The sequence below is a fragment of the Homo sapiens genome, chromosome 1 (assembly GCF_000001405.40).
Source record: "Homo sapiens chromosome 1, GRCh38.p14 Primary Assembly".
NCBI lineage: Eukaryota > Metazoa > Chordata > Mammalia > Primates > Hominidae > Homo > Homo sapiens.
Window position 1 is genome coordinate 198,522,198 of NC_000001.11, and position 19,792 is coordinate 198,541,989.

Consider the following 19,792-nt stretch of genomic DNA (forward strand, 5'->3'; position numbering starts at 1 on the left):
AAACAATGATCAATTAAAACCATTTCAGTTTATGATTTTAATTCCAGTCTAAACAAAAGTTAATTATTGTTACCAAACTATACATATAATCAGAGATTCATATAATTGAAGATTATATGAATAGTTTGGTGACAATAATTAACTTTTGTTTAGACTGGAATTAAAATTTGTCTGCATATATTACTGGAAAATCAAAGACTTTATAGCACCCATGCTTCTTACTAATGCAAATATAGGAGCTGTGCAGGTAAGCAGTTTGGTAAGAAGTAAAGGGTGTGAACATTGGAGTCACATTGCCCAGTTCAAAGCTCAGTGCTGCCACTGTTATCCAAACAACTCCAGATAAGTTCCTTCATCTTTGCATCTCATTTTGTAAAACAAGAGCACTAATACTGCTTACAAGGTAGGATTGAGATGATATATACATTGCACTAACAAAATACTTAGTATTTAACAAGAGTTTAGCTTAGCTGTAACTAGGAGACTGGGCTAGTGGCACACTAACCTAGTATATCTCCTGGGAGTTTTCTTTGTATTTCTTTTTTTTTTTTTTCAAAGCTCCAAAATCTATGTTATTAGCTTATTTATCATTTACTTTTTTCTTTTAAAAATAATATCTGTTTAGTTGAGGTCAGACAGACAGAATGATTATAAACCCCATCTATGTTTAAAAGTGGCTATATAACCCATCATTCTTTGTCTCTATCTCTCTGTTTTACTGGTTTCCCATTGATTACTGAATTAAATAAGACCCTTGACATGTTCATTTTTAGATCTGTTGAAGAGTCATAATTATATCTTGCTTAAAGATTATCTTTTAGCAAATTACCATTTAATACAATTAAGAGCACATTTTCTAAATCGATGAAAAGGAGAAGAAATAAAAAACCCATGCCCACTAAAAAGCTGTCATGACCATGTTTTTCTTTCAAGTGTTAAAAAACATGTTACTATTTTGCATTCTTGACTTACTCCAAGTTAAGTGACAAGGTCATAATTATTACTAGAAAAGATATAGCAACAGTTGTATTTTGTTTTGTTTAATTCAGTGCCGATGTATGAGTTATGTCACATTTCCTGTAAATGTAAATTTAAGGTTCTCATTTCAAATTTCTCAACATAAAAATACGAAGCCATAAGCAACCAGGTGGCACTCACACACCTTTTTTTTTCTTGAAAACTGTGATGTACATTTAGTTGGTGGCTCTGTAGTTCACATGGATTTCTGGTTTCATGTCACAGACCATGCTCAAGAGCTGGTTCATCACACTTTCCATATACTTATTGTAGTGTCCATTAAGTTCTTGTATCTTCCCTAGTGTTTGTTCTTCTATTTCATCTGAGAGATTATTCTGAGAGCCCATTATCTACCAAAACAAAACAGACAGAATTCACATCATAATACAATTGTTTTACAAGTTAAATTTGTCCTAGCCTGTTTACTGATGATTGTCCTACAATGCACAATTATGTACTCCTTTTCTAGATTTTTTCAGAGAACCAACAAGATCATCAATGCCATGAGTGGGAAGGATGAACTTTCATAAAATATTGAAACTGGTCATAGCAGATTACTTTCACTTTTAACCAACCTCCACATGGTACAAATTGAATACACATTTATAATCATTAAACCATGCCCAGAAGTTCTTTTCCATCACATTTTTCATGTATTTATGACAGTTTCCATTTAGTTCCCATATATTCCCTATTGTTTATTTTCTGAATTATAAGTCTGGAAAACAGAGTTGAAAGACACCATTAAACTCACTTTTGCTGTTTTTTAAAGAGTGTTTAAAAGTTTTAAACAGTTGCTGGTTTTTAAAGAGTGTTTTTCTATTTTTAAAATACATTATCTGAACTGTATCTTGCTTTTATCAGGAAGACAGTCACAATGTGCGCTCTAAGATACTTTTATATGCACAATTTTTTTTTTTTTTTTTTTTAGATGGGTTCTCACTGTGTCGCCCAGGCTGGAGTGCAATAGCGTAGTCTTGGCTCACTGCAACCTTCGCCTCCCAGGTTCAAGCGATTCTCCCACCTCAGCCTCACAAGTAGCTGGGACTACAGGCGTGTGCCATGATACCCTGCTAATTTTTGTATTTTTAGTAGAGACCGGGTTTCACTTTGTTGGCCAGGCTGGTCTCGAACTCCTGACCTGGTAATCCGCCTTCCTCAGCCTCCCAAAGTGCTGGGATTACAAGTGTGAGTCACAGCGCCTGGCTGCCGAAGTGTGTTTCTTTGGGTAATAGATATTATCTTGAACACTTAGTGTAAGTTGTACTTCTTTAAAATTGAGTGTGCTTGTTCATTTAGTTACATCATAATTGTAGACACAGTTTAATATATCTTTCTAATTGCTCTTTAATTGGCAGTGATTCCCAGTATTTTCTATTATCTCCTCTTTCCTCATAGCTTCTTTATCAAGGAATGATTTGACCAAAATATAATTTCACCAGAGGAGTTAACAATTTAAAGGAATTCTGCAGTGAAACACTTTGAAAGTTAGCCTTTACTAAAGCAAAAAAAATCAACTCCTAACGTATCTCCTTTGTAAACTTAGTCTTTCCTACACATGGCATTTTAAAGGCAAGAAGACTGTTTTATGTTTGTTTGCTTTTTCCGTCTGAGAGTGTTTAGGAAAAGTATGCATTTAATTTAATCCAAGATACTCCAGTAATGATTGACTTCTACTTCAGGGTTGTTAGACTATTCTAAATTCTAAAATCTGCATGATCTTTTTGAGTCCTAGGCTTGAAATCAAATGCCACTGAGGCGCTTGGGTTCAAGTTCTTTCTGTTTACAGTCCAGGCAATGGGGTCTTCTCAGTTCAAAGAAAATAATTTTGAAAAGTTACAGTTTCTAAGACATCAAATAACTTTTGCAGAATAACATTTTGATAAGTGAGTATACAAGAAGCAGAAACATATGGATCGAATTTCCCTTGCTAAGAAGAAATTTTAAAATAGAAGAGAACTACTTATTAAAATGGCTCTACCAAGCTCAAAATTTTTCCTCTAAATTTAGTGTCTTAAGTGTGATTCTACCAAATTAAAAAAATAATTCTCTAAATTCAGTGTCTTCTAGTGGTAAAAAATTAAAAACAAACTGTTGTGAAACTATTACCTACTTTTCTTTGGAACAGCATTAAAAATAGTTGTCATTGGGTTGGTTTAGTGTAACTGTTGTGAATGACTTTGGAAAAGTTAATCTCAAGCTTAGGTTCTCTATTTTTTTATAGGGATAATATCATCCATTTGATAAGATACTGTAAAATGCAAACCAGATTCATTGGTAAGTGTGCAGAGCAGTTGTGTCTAACAAAAGTGTAATATGAGCCACAAAGGCAACTCATATATATGTAATTATAAGTTTTCTAGAAGCCACATCAAAAGTGTAAAAGAAGTAGGTGCAGTTATTTTAGTAATATATTTAATCTAATAATATTCATATTTTAACATACAATCAATATAAAAATTATTACATTCTTTTATTTCATACTAAGTCTTTGGAATCTGGTATGTAGTTTACACTTATAGCACATCTTGATTGGGACTAGCTACACTTCAAGTGCTTAGTAGCCACATGTGAAGTGGTCACCATTTTGGACAGTGCAGCAATAAATGGCAGCTGTTAATATTAGTTGAATTCTTAATGTGGCTTTTCAAGACACCATAATCATTTTCCAGAGAGACTTATAAAGATGACTCTTAGCTCAGTTTAACTCTGAACAAGTAATCAGTACATGTTAGTGATTATTACTATAATTTTCACTGATTGTTTTACTTGTACTTTTCAAATTTTTCCAATATGTTCTGTATTTTCAGAAACATTGTAATACCCTTGTAATACCCCATAATCACGTCTCATCCTGCATAATTAAACAAAATATTATTTCTGAATTTATTTGATGCCCAGTGATTTGAGTTTCTGCAGTGTTTCCTATGCAGTACTATAACAATGACTAGTCATACACTATTTTAAATGGTTTTCCTAGGGAAGAATTCCATATCTTGATATCTGCAGACAGAGTATTGATTTAACCCATGTAGGAGTTTCAGTGAATGAATGTAAGTGGCACAAAGACAAGAATCATGTTCCTTGATGTATTATAAATGCCTTGAACACTGTCTGGCACTTAGTAGATGCTCAATACACATTTGTATTGAGTAGAATGATTAGATATCTTGGATATTACAGAGAACTCATTACTGTGTTCTGTTGCTCATGTTGATGGAAACCTGTTACCTGAATGTTTGGGAGAATGTATAAGTTAGTAGTTGATAATTCTGTAACATGTCATGATACATTTGGTCTAAGGGTGACATGTGAGGACTTCTCCATGTTAATTTTCAAAATGTCAGTGTTGAAACTGATGTATAGCTTTACAGCATAATGACTGATGGTGATGGAAGAACTTTAAACATTCAATATGTTTTTTTACAAGTTGTTTAAATGTTCCAGTTTAAGGTAAAGCAGAGCTTCAGGTCCCATCACCGCAAGAAAAACAGTTTTATGCTCTCAATTTGTGATTGCCTCCAGCAAACAAAATGCTCTTGGGATATAAATTCAGGAAGAAAGACTAAAGATATAAAGGTCTTCAATATGCCCAAGGCAACCATTTTCAGGTTTTCTACTTAGATTCATGATCTATCTGACTTTTACTTGTATTAACAACATATTTAATTTTTCTACTGTAGTCCAGATTTCTTTTTAGCAATATAATATTTTCTTTAGATAGGGTAGCACTAAGGAAGGGATAAATAGATTTTTGATGAAGCAATATTTGCTAACGTACAGCCCACATTGGGATACCTGCTTCCGTTGATAAGTCAGGGGACTTGAAAAATCACATATATTAACAAGAGCTAAAAAGCAACAAAAAGTAACATCAAGATACAACACCCACGGCACACAGGAGGCTGGTTTCTTGGGTCTCCTCCCAGACCTCCTAATTGCCCTGGGTTAATGAGGATAAGATTTAAGTGGAATAGCAATATGCCTGACATATGGAGGTCATGCCAAGGAGAGAAGATCTGTGCTAATGGTTTTACAAAATGCTCGAAGTAGCTGAGGCTTAAATATGCTGACCTTTCTATGTGAGCTTTTGATCAAATAACTGTAAAATTGGCTTGGAGCGCTAATTATGAGAGAGATGAGGAGTTTTGATTATTTAATTATTAACCAAAGCAGAAAACAAATAACCTGAACAAGATATATATATCTGATAAGATTCTTCTGGAGAAATGATATTTGAAGAGATTTAACACAAGCACTTTCTGAAATTGTGATTAGTTTTGTTATTACTTAAAAAACGGAAATAATTATATCAGAAATATCCTATATAAGATAATCAAAGCTGAATAATGTTAAAGATGATTGTTTTCTCAGGTCCTAATAGATCATGGTTATGACAGGATTCAATAAGAAAGAAAATCAAAGAAAAAAATGTTATTCATTCTTTCAACAAATATTTATTGCATGTCTACTGTGTGGCAGGCACTGTTCTAATGTCTAGGAAAACAGAGAACAAAACAAAGAAATGATTCTTTTGGTGTTTAAAGTCCCAGAAGGAAAGATAGGCAATATGCAAAAAACAATATAAAATATATCAGATAATGCTAAGTGCTATGAGGAAAAAGAGTGGACTACAATAGGTATGTGTTTATGACAGACACAATTTTAGATAAAGTGATCAGGAAAAGGTGCTAACAATTGAATAGAGATCAAAGAAAGATGAATATATCTAAAGAAAAGAATTGTAGGGCGTGAGAATGGTACATGTGAAGGCCTCATGGTAGGGGCATGTTCTAGCTGCTTGAGGAAGAGCAAAAGACCAATATGGCTAGAACAGAACTAATAGAGACTAGGGTGGTAGAAAATGTGGTGAGAGAGATAGCCAAAGGCCAATCATGGAGTGTTGTATGAACTTAGGACTTTAGGATTTCTTGTTTGCAAACATTGATAAAAATTTTTATGTTTGCTGAGTGGTCCATTTAATTCTAGAAAGGACCTTTTTTATTTGATGAAAAAGGTTTTGTTATTATGTGGTCCAATTTATCTGATCCTACATGAACTCCTTATCCATTACCATTAAAATAGAAGTTGTAAATAAAGATTTCCAAATTGCTAATAATTTATTGGCAGTGTCAGGCTTCTGCACAGAGCTTTACTTATATTTTTATTGAGGCCAAAATAAAATATCATATAAAATTTAGTTATAATACATGGAGTTAAGCACTTTCTTTTAGCCCATGTTGCAACATGGAAAGGAGGGTGTCCGCTCCAAAGGTTTCATGCATTTATAATTTACAGTAAACTGCAGATATTTAAAAATGTGCCAATGTAGGAAAAAGCATTTCTTTATCTCTAAATGAAAGATTTATTGAATGAGTCAGCCAGTTGCAAAGGAAATCATCAGGAAATACCAGAAGGCTTTTCAGAAATTTGCAACAATATCTACTTTGGTCATTTGTAAATCTTGGAAATATTAGTTATTTATGTAACTAACCATATATATTTATATAAAAACATGTTCTCTGAAGTTATTTTACTAAAACATGTAGTCAATAATCAGTGGTAGGAATGAGACTTTAAGCAATCCCTTCAGCTTGTATATTTGTGAATATGATTTTTAATATATACTATATATTACATAATAACTACTGATGGACCCTTTATGTGAGAAATTAAAAATGCCTTGAAAGTGAAAATGTAAAATCAGTAATTATTATGTTTAAGATTTTGCTTGATGTTCAGCTTGATTGAACTATATCTGCTCAATTGCAGCATATTTTTTTCTGTCAATATCCTATATTAAACCTTATAAATATGAAGATCTTATCTATTCTGCATAAGAAACAGTGCTGACTTTCTTACTCACCTTAGATTGTTTTAGTCGAAACTCTTTATCTCTCTGCATTCTGTACTGGTCAATTTCTACCATTGCTTCCTCCTTGGCTTGCTTCAATCGCTTTCCTTTTCCTGAAAATTAACAAATATATATATATATATATATAATTATATATATCAATATATAAATATTTATTATATATATCTCAACAAGGATATATATATTAACAACTGTACATATATGTTACACACGTATGCATATGGAGCTGCAAACTTAGTTTTTTTAAAATAGATACATTCTTCCTTATTTTTGATGATTTTTTCTAGAATGGCAAACTTTGCTAAAAAAATAGATATTGAAAATTTTATTATTTTTTATTGGATTCTTTAGGACACGTAAATGACAACTTTTTTTTGCACTTACATGTTTAAATAAAATATCTGCCCATTTACTCACAGCAGTAATGCCAGAGAACAGATTTTAGCTGTCACTTACTCAAAAAGACATTATTTGGTCAGATTTTCAGTCTTGATTTGCTGCCAGAATCCTTCAGTCCACACCAACTGGATCCTATTTAACACTGGCAGATCTCCAAAATCACTACAAACATGCAACTCAGACTCTATCAAACTAACTTACAATTTTTAAAAACGTTTTATTGGGATTTTTCCTTACCATTTGTTGACTCTACAATGTCTGATTAAGCCTCAATACATCAAAGCAATTTTTTTTTTTTGTAACTTTCTCTGAGGGGAACTTGCTTGAAAGTGGCTATAAAACCAATTGTTTTTAATGATTAGGAGATTTAGTTAAGTAGCCTTTTTTCTTTTATTAAGAGCAAAGGTGTAAGCCTTAAGCTAGCAGACAACATAAACGAAAGTTTTAGACGAATACAATGCTGTGGTAATCATTAGCTGAGCACATGACTTTTTTTGACAACCAGAGTAAGTTTGGGGGGGGTTACAGACAAATATTAATTGGTGCTTTGCTCTCTCCACCCACCACCTTGGGGCTTAGCTACTAATGCTTCATGATCATTAAAACTTTAAAGAAATTCTGAACTACATTAAAATTCTTTTTTTCTATGAATCTATTGTCTTTCAATTTCAGTAAAATGCCTCCATTCTTTTACCCATTTTATAGTTTTTTTCCTCTGATAATGTTTCTTAAGTATTGTTTACAATTTCTGTCAACCATTTGTTATATTGTAAAGACTTTGAACTAAAGAATAATGTGTTCTCAGGTAGCATGAAAGAAAATCTTAGTGTAAACTTTTATCTGTCTCCCATTTACCTATGCATGTATCTACCTTTGCAGCATTTGCACAGAGATTGTTTCTCAATTTCTTTCCCTTCTAAGTATGAGTTGCTTCACTAGTCTCTGTATGTATATGGGATAAAAATAGAGTCACTGAGTTACAAACTGAAATGTGTCTCTTTTAATATCTACCACCCTTGAATGGAACTGGGAAGTCCTCATTCAGAACAGATATTTAGCTCTGCCTACACTTTCTTTAAAATCTGAGATCTGCTGAAAACTACTGCTCTTCTGTTGCTTGAGGCTTAATGGAACATTAATAGCAATGCTTATCTTTATATTAATTAATGCTCATTACCATTTTGTATATACTGATTCCTTCATTCTCTATAGTTGTAACCATTTTGTGACAACTACATATATATTATTCACAGAGATTCTCTGTGAGCAGAATAAATCGATGATATGTTGGTAGGAAAAACTATTCCTTGATCTCCAACCCACTTTCTTCTATCTGTTTGTCATTTACATCAGAACAAAAATACAGAATGTTAATGTATTGATTTTTTTTAGTAATAATGGGTTGTAGGATACATAATTATTTTACAAAATAAATCACATGCCTCACTACTCTCCATCTTAATTGCATAATATCTAAAAATAGTGGTTTTAAAGTTATGCCTCTCTAGCACATTAAAAAAAAAATCATAGGAAAGGGTCTGTGTGCCCTACCCTTGAGTGGAATTCAGCACTCCACTAAGAGGCTGTATATTAGCTCCATCACACGGTGACAGGCTCAGAGCGTGTCTGTGATTCCCTTGTCATGGCACCAGTCACCTGCTGGTTCTCATTCAATTAAATGGGAGAGCCACAGGGAAATCGTTGCTGGCACAGCAATTTTCTTGATAGACTCAGCAGCTGCTGCTGTGTAAGAGCCTGCATATGCTCCACCTGATTTAATCCAGTGGAAAAAACTGGAGCCTAAAGCCTACTGTTCTGTTAGAGGTGAAACAAAATGCACACTTCAAATCCACTCATATTAACCTCTAACTTGCTTCTCTCTGTGTGTAAGAATTTGGCAATTCTAAAATTATACTTATTTCTTTGTATGCATTAAAAACATGGCTGCTGTGACCAAAAGCGGGGAGAAAAGACATTTGGACTGATTTTCAGGTGGTTTGTGGGAAAAGGATTAATAAAATCAATTTTGGGCAGGTTAAAACAACTCTGTGTCGGAGACAAAGGGTAATGCTTGAAGATGGACTCTTCCTGGCCTTCTCATTAGGACAGGCCAGGTGAACTGACTGTCCCCAGATGCGATAAGTTCTTGAGGTACAGAGAAACCTAATTCTGTTGGATTGCTAAATTTGTTCTAGGCTCTTTTCCCAATGGAGAAGATAGGATTTCATTTATCATCTAAGGCAATCAGAATCATGCACTAGGCATCATGGCAATAAAACATTAGAAGCTTTGTAACTTTGAGCAGGTTATTGAGTTTTCTCATCTATAAGACAGATTTAATAATCTACCATAAAAAGTTATTGGAGGGATTAGAAAAAAATGTATATAAAATGATTGACAAAAGTAGTTGTTTAATTATTTTAAATAATTATTAGGAAAACGGGTCCAATTCCTAGGGGCCTTTTGCTAAAAAAGAAGTCAAGGAGAAAAAAAAAGGCAAGGGGTAAAGCGTGAGTTTGAGGAGAAGTCCTCAGGCTGTCACTAGAGAAGCCTCTGTAAGCTTTCCTGAGGATATTTAATTGGAGGTATGCAGACGACAGCTGGGGAGACAAAATTGGGATGCAGGAGGAAGGTCTGAAATGAAGACAGAGATTTGCATATTAGTCATTGGGGCCTGTATATATGCTAGTTATAGCAATGGGATTTAGACAGAAATCAAGGGAGAGTATACAGAATGAGGAGAAAAGAAGGCTAAGGTCTCAGCTTGGGGGAATATTAACACTCAACCTTTAAGAAAAGAAGGAGGAAGGTTGGAAGGAGCCAGTAGTAGTCAGAGAAGTTGGAGAAACCAAAAGACAGAAGAGAACATTCCAAGAAGGATATGGCCAGCAGTATCAAAAGACACAGAGAACTGAAATAAGAGATATTTAATCAACATAACTAGATGTCTATTCTGTGCCACACACTATTGTAGATCTATGGATATAGCAGTGAAAGCCACAAACTTTTTGTTTCATGGAGTTTGTGTTCTGAATGTAGTTGGGGAGATAAAAATAGAAAATGGACAATAAGTATATAATATGACAGGGATGATGGTGAAGAAGAAAGGAGAATAAGGGGTAAAGAAAGATGGTGGATTCTACTTTAGACAGATCAGGCCTCTCAGATGAAACAATATGTGAACAGAGGCCTAAAGGAATAAGGCAACTAGTCATGCAGATATCTGAAGGGGGAGAGTCTTCCAGGCAGGGGGAAGGGTCCTCCAGGCAGAGGGAACAGCAAGTGCAGAGGCCCTGAGGTGGGAGGATATTTGCCATGCTGAAGGAAGAGCAAAAACACCATCATGGCTGGAGCAAAGAGAACAGGATATTCAATCATGAATGTTAGGAGATGGTATTAGAAAGATAGTAGCACGACCAGGTCATATTGATCTCACAGGGCACGGTAAGAATTTTGGTCTTTGGAATACTAAATTCATGAAGGGTTCTTAGCCAAGGCATGACATAATACTACTTGTAATTTAAAAGGATTTCTTGGCTAGGCACGGTGGCTCATGCCTGTAATTGCAGCACTTTGGGAGGCTGAGGCAGGTGGATCATGAGGTCAAGAGATCGAGACTATCCTGGCCAACATGGTGAAACCCGGTCTCTACTAAAAATACAAAAATTAGGTGGACATGGTGGTGCGTGCCTGTAGTTCCAGCTATTTGGGAGGCTGAGGCAGGAGAATCGCTTGAACCCAGGAGGCAGAGGCTCAGTGAGCCAAGATCACGCCATTGTATTCCAGCCTAGCAACAGAGTGAGACTCTGTCTAAAAAAAAAAAAAAAAAATTTCTTTGGCTGGTGTGGTGAAAATAGAAAATACACTATAGGGGTAAAGGAGAATCAAGAAGATCAGTCTGAAATTTGTTGCAATTGTTCAGGCAAATTTAATAATTGCTGGAAATGGTAAAGTAGTAGTGGAGTTAGCAAGAAGAGGGTAGATATATTTTGGAGGTGGAATTGATACATGAGCATGAGAGACAGATATGAGTCAATGATGGCACCAACATTTTATTTTGGGGATGGAGTCAATACTGCAATTTCGTTGATATGCCTATTCAACATCCAATAGTGATGCTGAGACAGCTGGTGTTTATATGAACTTAGAGATCAGGGAAGCAACGAGTGCTGGGAATATCAAGTTTGGGAGTCATCAACTTGAAGCTGGTCTGTAAAGCCATGAGATCAGATGAGAGCACCTCAGAAGTATCTGCTGATAACCAAGAGAACAGGTCCAAATTGGGGTCCGACTTTAAGGATTGAGAAGACAACAGGAAGCCAACCATGAGAGTAGTGTTCCAAAGTCAAATGAAGAAAGAGTTTCAAAGAGGAAAGAGGGATCTAATTATGAATGAGATATTGAATTAATATTGGGTTTAGCAAGACTGGTGATCTGGGCAAGAGGAACTATTGGTGGAGTTATAGGAAGAAGTGTTCAATAGAAAATGGAATGAAACATTGTAGACACAGGGAACATAGGCAACTTCTCTGAGAAGTTTTAACCAACAAAGGGGAACAAAGAAAATAAAATAAGGGCTCAAGGTGGTCAAGTGGATTTGACAGCTAGAGGATTTAATTGTGCCCCCCGAAAACATATGTTGGAGTCCTAACTCCTGGTACCTCTGATGTAACCTTACTTGGAAATAGGGTCTTTGCAGATGTAATCAGGTTAAAATGAGGTATAAGGGATTAAGACAGGTCCTAAATCCAACAACTGGTTCTCTTATAAGGGAAATTTGAATACAGAGGCACAGAGTCAGAGCAGACACACAGGGAGGAAGGCCATGTATTGATGGAGGTATACATTAAAATGATGCAGCTGCGAGACAAGGAGTGCCAAGGATGGCTGGCTACCACCAGTGACCAGGAAGGAGGCATGGGGGTTTCTCCCTCGGTGCTTCCAGAAGGATCCAACCCTGCTGGCACCTTCTGTTTGGACTTCTGGCCTCCAGAATGGTGAGATAATCAATTTCTGTTTAAAGCCACCTAGTATATGGTAATTTGTTACAGCGTCTCTAGGAAACAAATGCAGAGAATCAGCAAGGAGCATAGAGAAAACAATGCTAGTTGAGCATTGGAGACAAAGCCAGATACCCTAGTGTGGTGAAAATAGTAGGTATTGAAATGAATGTGCCACCTGACAAAAATATGCATAAACAGTTCAGAAGCCATTTTTATTTGCTGTATAAACAAAGGGTACTTTGGTAATGTTTGAAGATTTCTGTTAGTAATAACAACTTTTGATCTATTCTACCACTCAGAAAACAAAGCAAAACCAAACCAAACAAAACTTCTTGGCTTTGGGCGATTGTCAATATTGTGATAAAACCAACCTGATTCAAAGAATGCTATTATTTTTCCCAGTGACTACAAACATTGGGAAAGAAATGTCACCAGAAAAACAAAGAGGCAGCCTCTCCTTTGGTGACTGTCACTGCTAGAGCTTCTCTTACACTAAATTTATTTCCTGTCAGATCTCTGCTTCCTGAATGTTTTCTTTTGCTTTTCTTCTACTTGTATTTTCCTTATTAAAAATACAATAAATAGTTTTGTGTAGCTCCTGGACTGAATATAACCAAATGCTATTAATAGATGAAAATGCTCTGTGGTTATTATTTTAATATTACCCACCTGAAGAAATGAAAGCCCAATACACTTACAAATACCCTGTTAGTCTGTGGACTATAAAGGAAGAGGAAGTATTTACAAGCCTACAAAACATGCAAGACAGGGCCATGAAATTCTTATATAACAACTTTTATTTTATTAGTTTATTAAAAGTCTTGTCTTTATGAACAAAAACATCCACTTGCATAGTGAAGAATTTATTAAATTGAGGTGCTTGTTTAAATAATTCAGAATATATGCATATTTGGAAGCAAATAGGAAATTTGCTGATTTAAAAAAATTATTGATGGTTGGCATCCTATAGACTCACAAAAATAAATCTGAATTACAGTATTATCTGATGTATTATCTAGAATGCAGAAATATTTTCTTAAGTATGTATTTTGCCTCATAGTGGACCATGCTTAAGAAATCTCCAGGACTTTTTTGCTGTTTTTGCAACAAAATTCTTTTTATTGGATATTAAAATAATATTAACAGCTAAAATTTCTTGAGCACCTTCTATATGCCAAGTGGTGTTTTAAGTCTTTTATAAGAGTTAACTCAGTTAATCATGACAACTCCATGAGGTAGGTACTGTTAGTATCTCCATTTTGAGGCTGAGGAAACAGGCACAGCAAGGTTAAGAGGTAACCCACCCAAGGTCACACAGCTAATAAGAAGCAGAAGTTAGACTGGCATCCAGGCAGAGCAGCTGTAGGGGGTGAGTACTGACCATACTATTTTGGGAGAAAGCTAGAGCAGTGTGTTCTTCACTTGTATTACAATTGTCTGTAGCTTTTAGACATTTTTAATATAGCTATTTGTTCCATTTTTCTCATATCCAGATTAGAAAATTTACATTTTTTTTTGCTATTTCTTTCAATCTATATCCTGTAATGCAATTTGTAATTTTTAGTTAAGCACAAATGCTACTTTCTGCAGCTTCCAAAGTAAATAAATTGAGTGTTTATTTCTAGGAGAGTATGCCATGTATGTTCAGAAATGATTTGGGAATATGAGTTCTTTATGTGATGTTGAATTGCATGCATTTGAGTATTTCAGAACAATGTTAATGCAGAGCTATAGGGTTTTAAAAGTTTGCAATGGGTGTAAGTGAAGTAAATACTTCTCTTAAAAAAGGTCATGACTAAAAGTAAAAATGCAACATATTTCAGAGAAACACAAGTCTCTGTTCCTCCTGTTGATAATGGTACTTTGAATTTCTAATCTAATTCTGATTGAAGTTTCAGTTCAATACCCCAAACCTGGAGCTCCATGGCAGATCTCTGATGTTTAGGTAACTTGTCTTGGACCAACACACCCACTTTTATGTTTTGATTAATGAACAATTTATTAAGTAAAGAGCATTGAATCTAGGTAAGATAATTTAAAGTAGTGCAAACTACTGTGATTTCATCTAAATTCAACCAAAATAGTAAGGCAGTTTTGCACATAAAAATGAGTGAGAGCTTTAACTAATAAATATAACCTGTAATCAGTGAATACAGGAAAGTATCTGAACATTTCTAGTCATCTTACCAGAAGCAGTCCCAGTCTCTTCGTTTTAGGAAAAGTAGATGCAGAACTTACAGCAGGGGTAAAAACAAATGGAATGAGATCATTCTAGTCTATATCATTCTTCTATCATTATTACTTACAGTAACATACAAAAATACATGACATATATTAAAAATAAAAATAACTCTAGTGTGTATTTTGCTTTACTATCTTACACATATTTTTCTGATTCTTACAACCTCTTGGTCATATGTGTGTGTGTGTGCGTGTATTATAACTTCTATTTTTATTTACAGAAAGAAAGTCTGAAACTTGGAGATGTTAAATGACATTAAGAATTGTAGGTTTTCAACTCAAGCCAATGCTTTTATACTCTACTACTTCCCAGTCTGACTTCCGAAGCCTGTCCACATTCCTGCCCATGTCCCTGTCAGATTTCATCTCTCTCAGTAGCTGGTGGATGTCTTGAGAGCAGAGACTTGCATATTCAATTTCTATAGACCGCGTGGCCTTCTGGAGAGTTCTTGATACATCAGGTTCATAATCCCTTATCAGTATCCCTAAAGGCAAAACACTTAGACCATATACTGTATCATGTAGCAACTGCACCAGGATCTGAGGCTGTTCTCCTTAATGGAATATATTAATATTTTTTCAGCATAATATAAAAATAACCATATTAATCTTGTATTTTCCTGAAATGATTAACATGTGAATTGCTGTTTTCTTTCTCTTTCCCTCTTTCTCGCCCTTCCTTCTTCCTGTCTTTCTTTTTCTTAAAAATAATACACTCAAGAGTCTTGTTCTAGCACTTTATGCCCAAGTTTCTGAGAGTCTTGCAAATAAATGGATTTAAGAAAGAGAAAATGACCATAGACCTTCTACAATGGTGTTCACTATTGTGACTTCTTGGTCCTCATTCTGAATATCATTCTGCCTTAATATGTCAGAATTTCAAATGAATCTTTGTATGAAAAAATAAAGCAAAAGTATATGGGTTTACTAAAATGATAACTATCTTTACCTCTCCTGTCATCATGCCTCCTTTCCCTTTTTAAAATAGTCATTTGTGCATTTATCTCACTGGGAAGTTCTTTAAGGAAGAACTAGGTCTTATTTATCAGTGTAAACATCAAAGTGGCCTGGAATTAGTAGATACCCAATAAACACTTATTGAATTAAATAAATGAAACAAAAACCACTGAAACATTAGGGAAGTTATAACATACTGGTATATAAGGTAATATTTCTATTTTGCCATAGATCGCTTATGTGAGTAAGCTGTTGTAACTATAAACTTTAATACCTGCTGATAGCTTTAAGAAAACAGTTTCTATCCAGTTAAAACTGACCTCAACGCCTGTGGCTTCTGAGGCAAAGAGGACAGGCTGACATTCTCCATAAAACTGAGTGCAGAGGTTAGTTGTTGAAAGTCAAAATATTTTCCAGAATGTCTTTAAAGCCTGGGTATTTACTATTACTGGTTGAATATCCCCTTGAATATTCATGAACAAAGACATGGTAGATTAAGAAAAAAATATGCAGGTATTTTAAGTTACTGGCAAATGAAATGAACATTTTTGTATAGAAATAAGACAGTATGTACTTTTCAATACTGAATTCTGAGGAAAGATTGCCCAAGGACAGCATATTCACTAGAGAAAAGCAAAAGAAATTGGACTTTTATCTTTATTCTGAAATTTGAAGCCAGGTTGCCCTTAGCGGCTCCCACCCCAAAACAGCTTGCATGTATAGCAATTCTTTTATTCTTTAATGACTCGAAAAAAGGAGAAATAGTTGGTAAAAATTATTTGAGTCATACAATAATATTGATTAATCTATACTCAATATTTCATTTTGTATCCTCCATAATGAGAAAGCAAAGGCAACATAACTATCACATCTTTAAATTATCTGGTCTTCTGTTCTGAAAGTTTTAAATATTGTTAAAGAAGTTTTTAAAAAGGCCTGGCACAGTAGCTCACTCCTGTAATTGCAGTAATTTGGGAGGCAGAGGCAGGTGGATCTCTTGAGCTCAGGAGTTTGAGACCAGCTGAACAACATGGCGAAACCCCGTCTCTACAAAAATACAAAAATTGGCCGGGTGTGGTGGCGTGTGTCTGTGGTCCCAGCTACTCTAGAGGCTGAGGTATGGCTTGAGCCTGAGAGATGGAGGTGGCAAGGAGCCCAGATCATCTGCATTTCAGCCTGGGAACAGAAGCAGACCCTGTCTCAAAAAAAAAAAAAAAGAAGAAGAAGAAAAGAAAACCCTGAAATTTTTAAAAAGGGAAAATTCTCTATGCCGCTTCAACCACAGGTCCTGAACTGCTTTGTTTTCTATAAAACTACTCTACATTCATATCATCTTGCAACTATTTCCACACTTCGTTGTAGAAAAAGAAATTGAGAAATAGGTAAAGTTTGCCTTCACTATCTTTCTTCTTCCTTTCCTCTTCTATCATCTCCACCTGGAGTCATTCCTTTTATGTTGTTGATGCCCACATTGCTGAGTGTTCAGGAAATCTATTTATCTTAAGAAAAGGAAATGATTTTACCTGTGGTTGAAAACTTTAGTGTACCTGCCTTATTTCTGACTGACTTTCTTATGTTGTAATATATTCCTTCATTTCATTCATTACGTTTAAATAATTCAGTACCTACTCCAATCCCATCACTACATTCATCCAAAGAGTTACATAAGTAACATTTTGAAAATATGGCCCCTGTTTTGCCAGACTGAATCTAATTGCAGAGGCAGGACACACAAGGAGAGTGAATGACACTACAAATTATTGTAGATTGAATAATGAGGTGATATGAAATGGGATAGTGAAAAAAATGTCTTGGCCTTGGGAATCTGAATTCCAGTTGTAGATCTGAGACATATTAATTTTTTTATTATGCAAATTGTGTAAATTTTGTAAAGCACAGTGGTTAAGATCTGGGCTTGGAAATTATAGCTCATCTAAATCTTGTCTCTACCATTTACCCTCTGTGTGACCTTAGACAAGTTGTATAATTTCTCTAAGCATCACTTTTGCTTTTTCAGTAAAGGTTGTGAGGAATAAAGATAAGCAATGAGCATGGTGCCTGGCACAATATTTTCTATTTTTAAAATATAACCTTGAACAAATCAGTGACTCCATTTCTGCATACATTGGGAATAATGTTAATATCCTATTCATTTGGCTGTTGTATCAAAGAGAATAGAAAAGGTGTTGAAGTTCATTGAGGACATTCTATATGTAAGTACATGAATGCATGACCAAATGAAAAGAGAGCTGAGTACAGTGGCAAGTGCCTGTAGTCCCAGCTACTTGGCAGGCTGAGGCAGCAGGATCTCTTGAGTCCAGGAGTTGGAGTTCAGCCAGGGCAACATAGTGAGACCCTCATCTCTTAAAAAATAAATTAATAAAAATAAAAAGAGAGGTAGAAAATGAGAATAAAATGAAAATATTTTAAAATATTAGATGTTAAAAAGCTACCAAGAGAGGGATGAGAATGAGCCATTATTATTCTGATTTTATGGAAATGAAAACTGATGCTTATAAAAAATAAGTAATTTGCTCAGGTTTACTCACTAATAAGTAGATTCAATCCAGAGGTTTTCTACCCCCTAACAATGTTGAGAAAACAGGCATGGCATAGCCAAGGCTTAAGCCCACATCTCTATAATCTTAATGTCCATGAACACATGACCTCTCAAAAGGATCTGAATGAGGAAACTTCATCCCTGCTCTAGAAATAAGGAACATATGGCTGGGTAATTTTAATGAATGGGTGAAGGTCTCACAGGGAGTACAGTAAACCAAAGTTTGAAACAAGGTCTGCCTAATCCAAAAGTCTATGCTTATCCCTGCATTCCACTGCTTTGTTTATTTCGTGACAGACCCCTCACAGGTGAGACTTACTCTTCTTGGCTTCCTCTAGCTTGTCCTTGGCCCGTTTTTCTGCCTGAAGAAGCTGGTGGATCCCCTGAGACTGGCTTGTCATGGTAGTCTGCTCCAAGCAAGTGGCTTCTGTGAAATCTGGGAAGTAATGGGTTCATTTATTCTTTTAGAAATTAACATATAACTCAGATTATTGTGTCAACAGCAAGTTCCAAATGCAGCTGTTTCAAACTGGCTTTATTGGGCTGGATAGCTGGGTCCCAAGGAAAGCCCAAGGTGGAATCTAGAAAAACAAGTTAAACCAATGTGCATAAATTGAGAACTTACCATTTCTGCCAATCTTAGCTCTTCTGTATGAGATAAGGAGGTATAAATGAGGTGTTGCATCTACTTATAAATAATGAATAAGAGACCTTTTAAGAATGTTGGTTTCCCTAATCTTCCAAGAAACATTGACATGTTTACTGAGTTTTTCTTTTAAGTAACAAGATCTTTGCTCTTTGTACCTGCAGTACTTTGTTTCAGGTCTTTTTCTTTATTTGTTTCTAGTGATTCAGTTATCTGCTTGGAGAAAACGTGTTAATCTTTTGTTAGGAAAGAGATTCCCTAGCTTTGTGCATAGATGGTGGACTAAGGATTTTTTTCCCCCAAGGTCTCAGGTGACTGGAATAAAAAGATTTCTTTTGGGCATTGTGCTGCTCTTAAGTAATGCTGTAGGTTGAAGTTCCAGGAAGATCTTACTATGGTGACTAAACAATTAGTAATTTTAGTAGTAGTAATCATGATAGAAATAGACTATAACTGTAGGTTTTGGGATTAAGTTAAAATAATTTAAACATGCATTTTATATTATTCAGTGTTTGTGGTGAGTATTGTCCTAAGATAATACAATAAAATCCATCATACTTGATTTGATTCGATCCAGTAGCAATTGGACAAATCAGAATATTGGTCACAGAGAAGAACCACAAAGTATCATTTATATGTATCTAAAATTTTTATTTGAAGTGAAAAGCTAATCTGTTGACTTAGAATAAGGCTTTCCCCCCGATACGATTTGCAGATTGGGGTTTCACGTATTATTGCTTTCATAAACTATACCTCTATTGCCTCATATGTAAGTGCCAGGTTCATTTTCTTTAATAAGGTGTCTGGATTTAAAGACAATTGTAAAACAATCTGGGCACTAAATCTTTTAAGGCTTTAATGATTATTTTCTCCTAATCTTTTCAAGTTGTCTCATCCATATCTGCATGCCTACATTATGTGTGCATTTTCAGCAAATATTTTCAAAAGGAAAAACTTTTCCACAGGATCACTTTTACTTTTTTTTTTTTTTTTGAAGTCACATTTAATCAGCTTATAAAGTACTTAATTTGTATTGCGTAATTAAATACCTGGTGTAACTGGGATAAACCGATTTTCGAACAAGCACAACTCTT

General features: G+C 34.9%; 1 protein-coding gene across 6 annotated transcripts; it reads right to left on the reverse strand.

The window, feature by feature from the left end:
* Positions 1-1,024: 1,024 nt before the first annotated feature.
* ATP6V1G3 (ATPase H+ transporting V1 subunit G3) lies at positions 1,025-18,748 on the reverse strand. Of its 6 annotated transcripts, none has more exons than NM_001320218.2 (5): positions 18,678-18,748; positions 18,372-18,488; positions 14,482-14,499; positions 6,884-6,984; positions 1,025-1,367 (listed from the first exon to the last, which is right to left on the reverse strand). In NM_001320218.2, exons 2-5 carry the CDS (start codon positions 18,451-18,453, stop codon positions 1,194-1,196), a joined length of 375 nt encoding a protein of 124 aa, NP_001307147.1. In that variant the 5' UTR covers positions 18,454-18,488; positions 18,678-18,748; the 3' UTR covers positions 1,025-1,193. The 6 variants fall into 6 exon arrangements, with proteins under 6 accessions (NP_001307147.1, NP_579872.1, NP_573569.1 ...); NM_133326.2 differs by having other exon boundaries at positions 14,482-14,527; NM_133262.3 differs by lacking the exon at positions 14,482-14,499.
* Between the last annotated feature and the right edge of the window lie 1,044 nt (positions 18,749-19,792).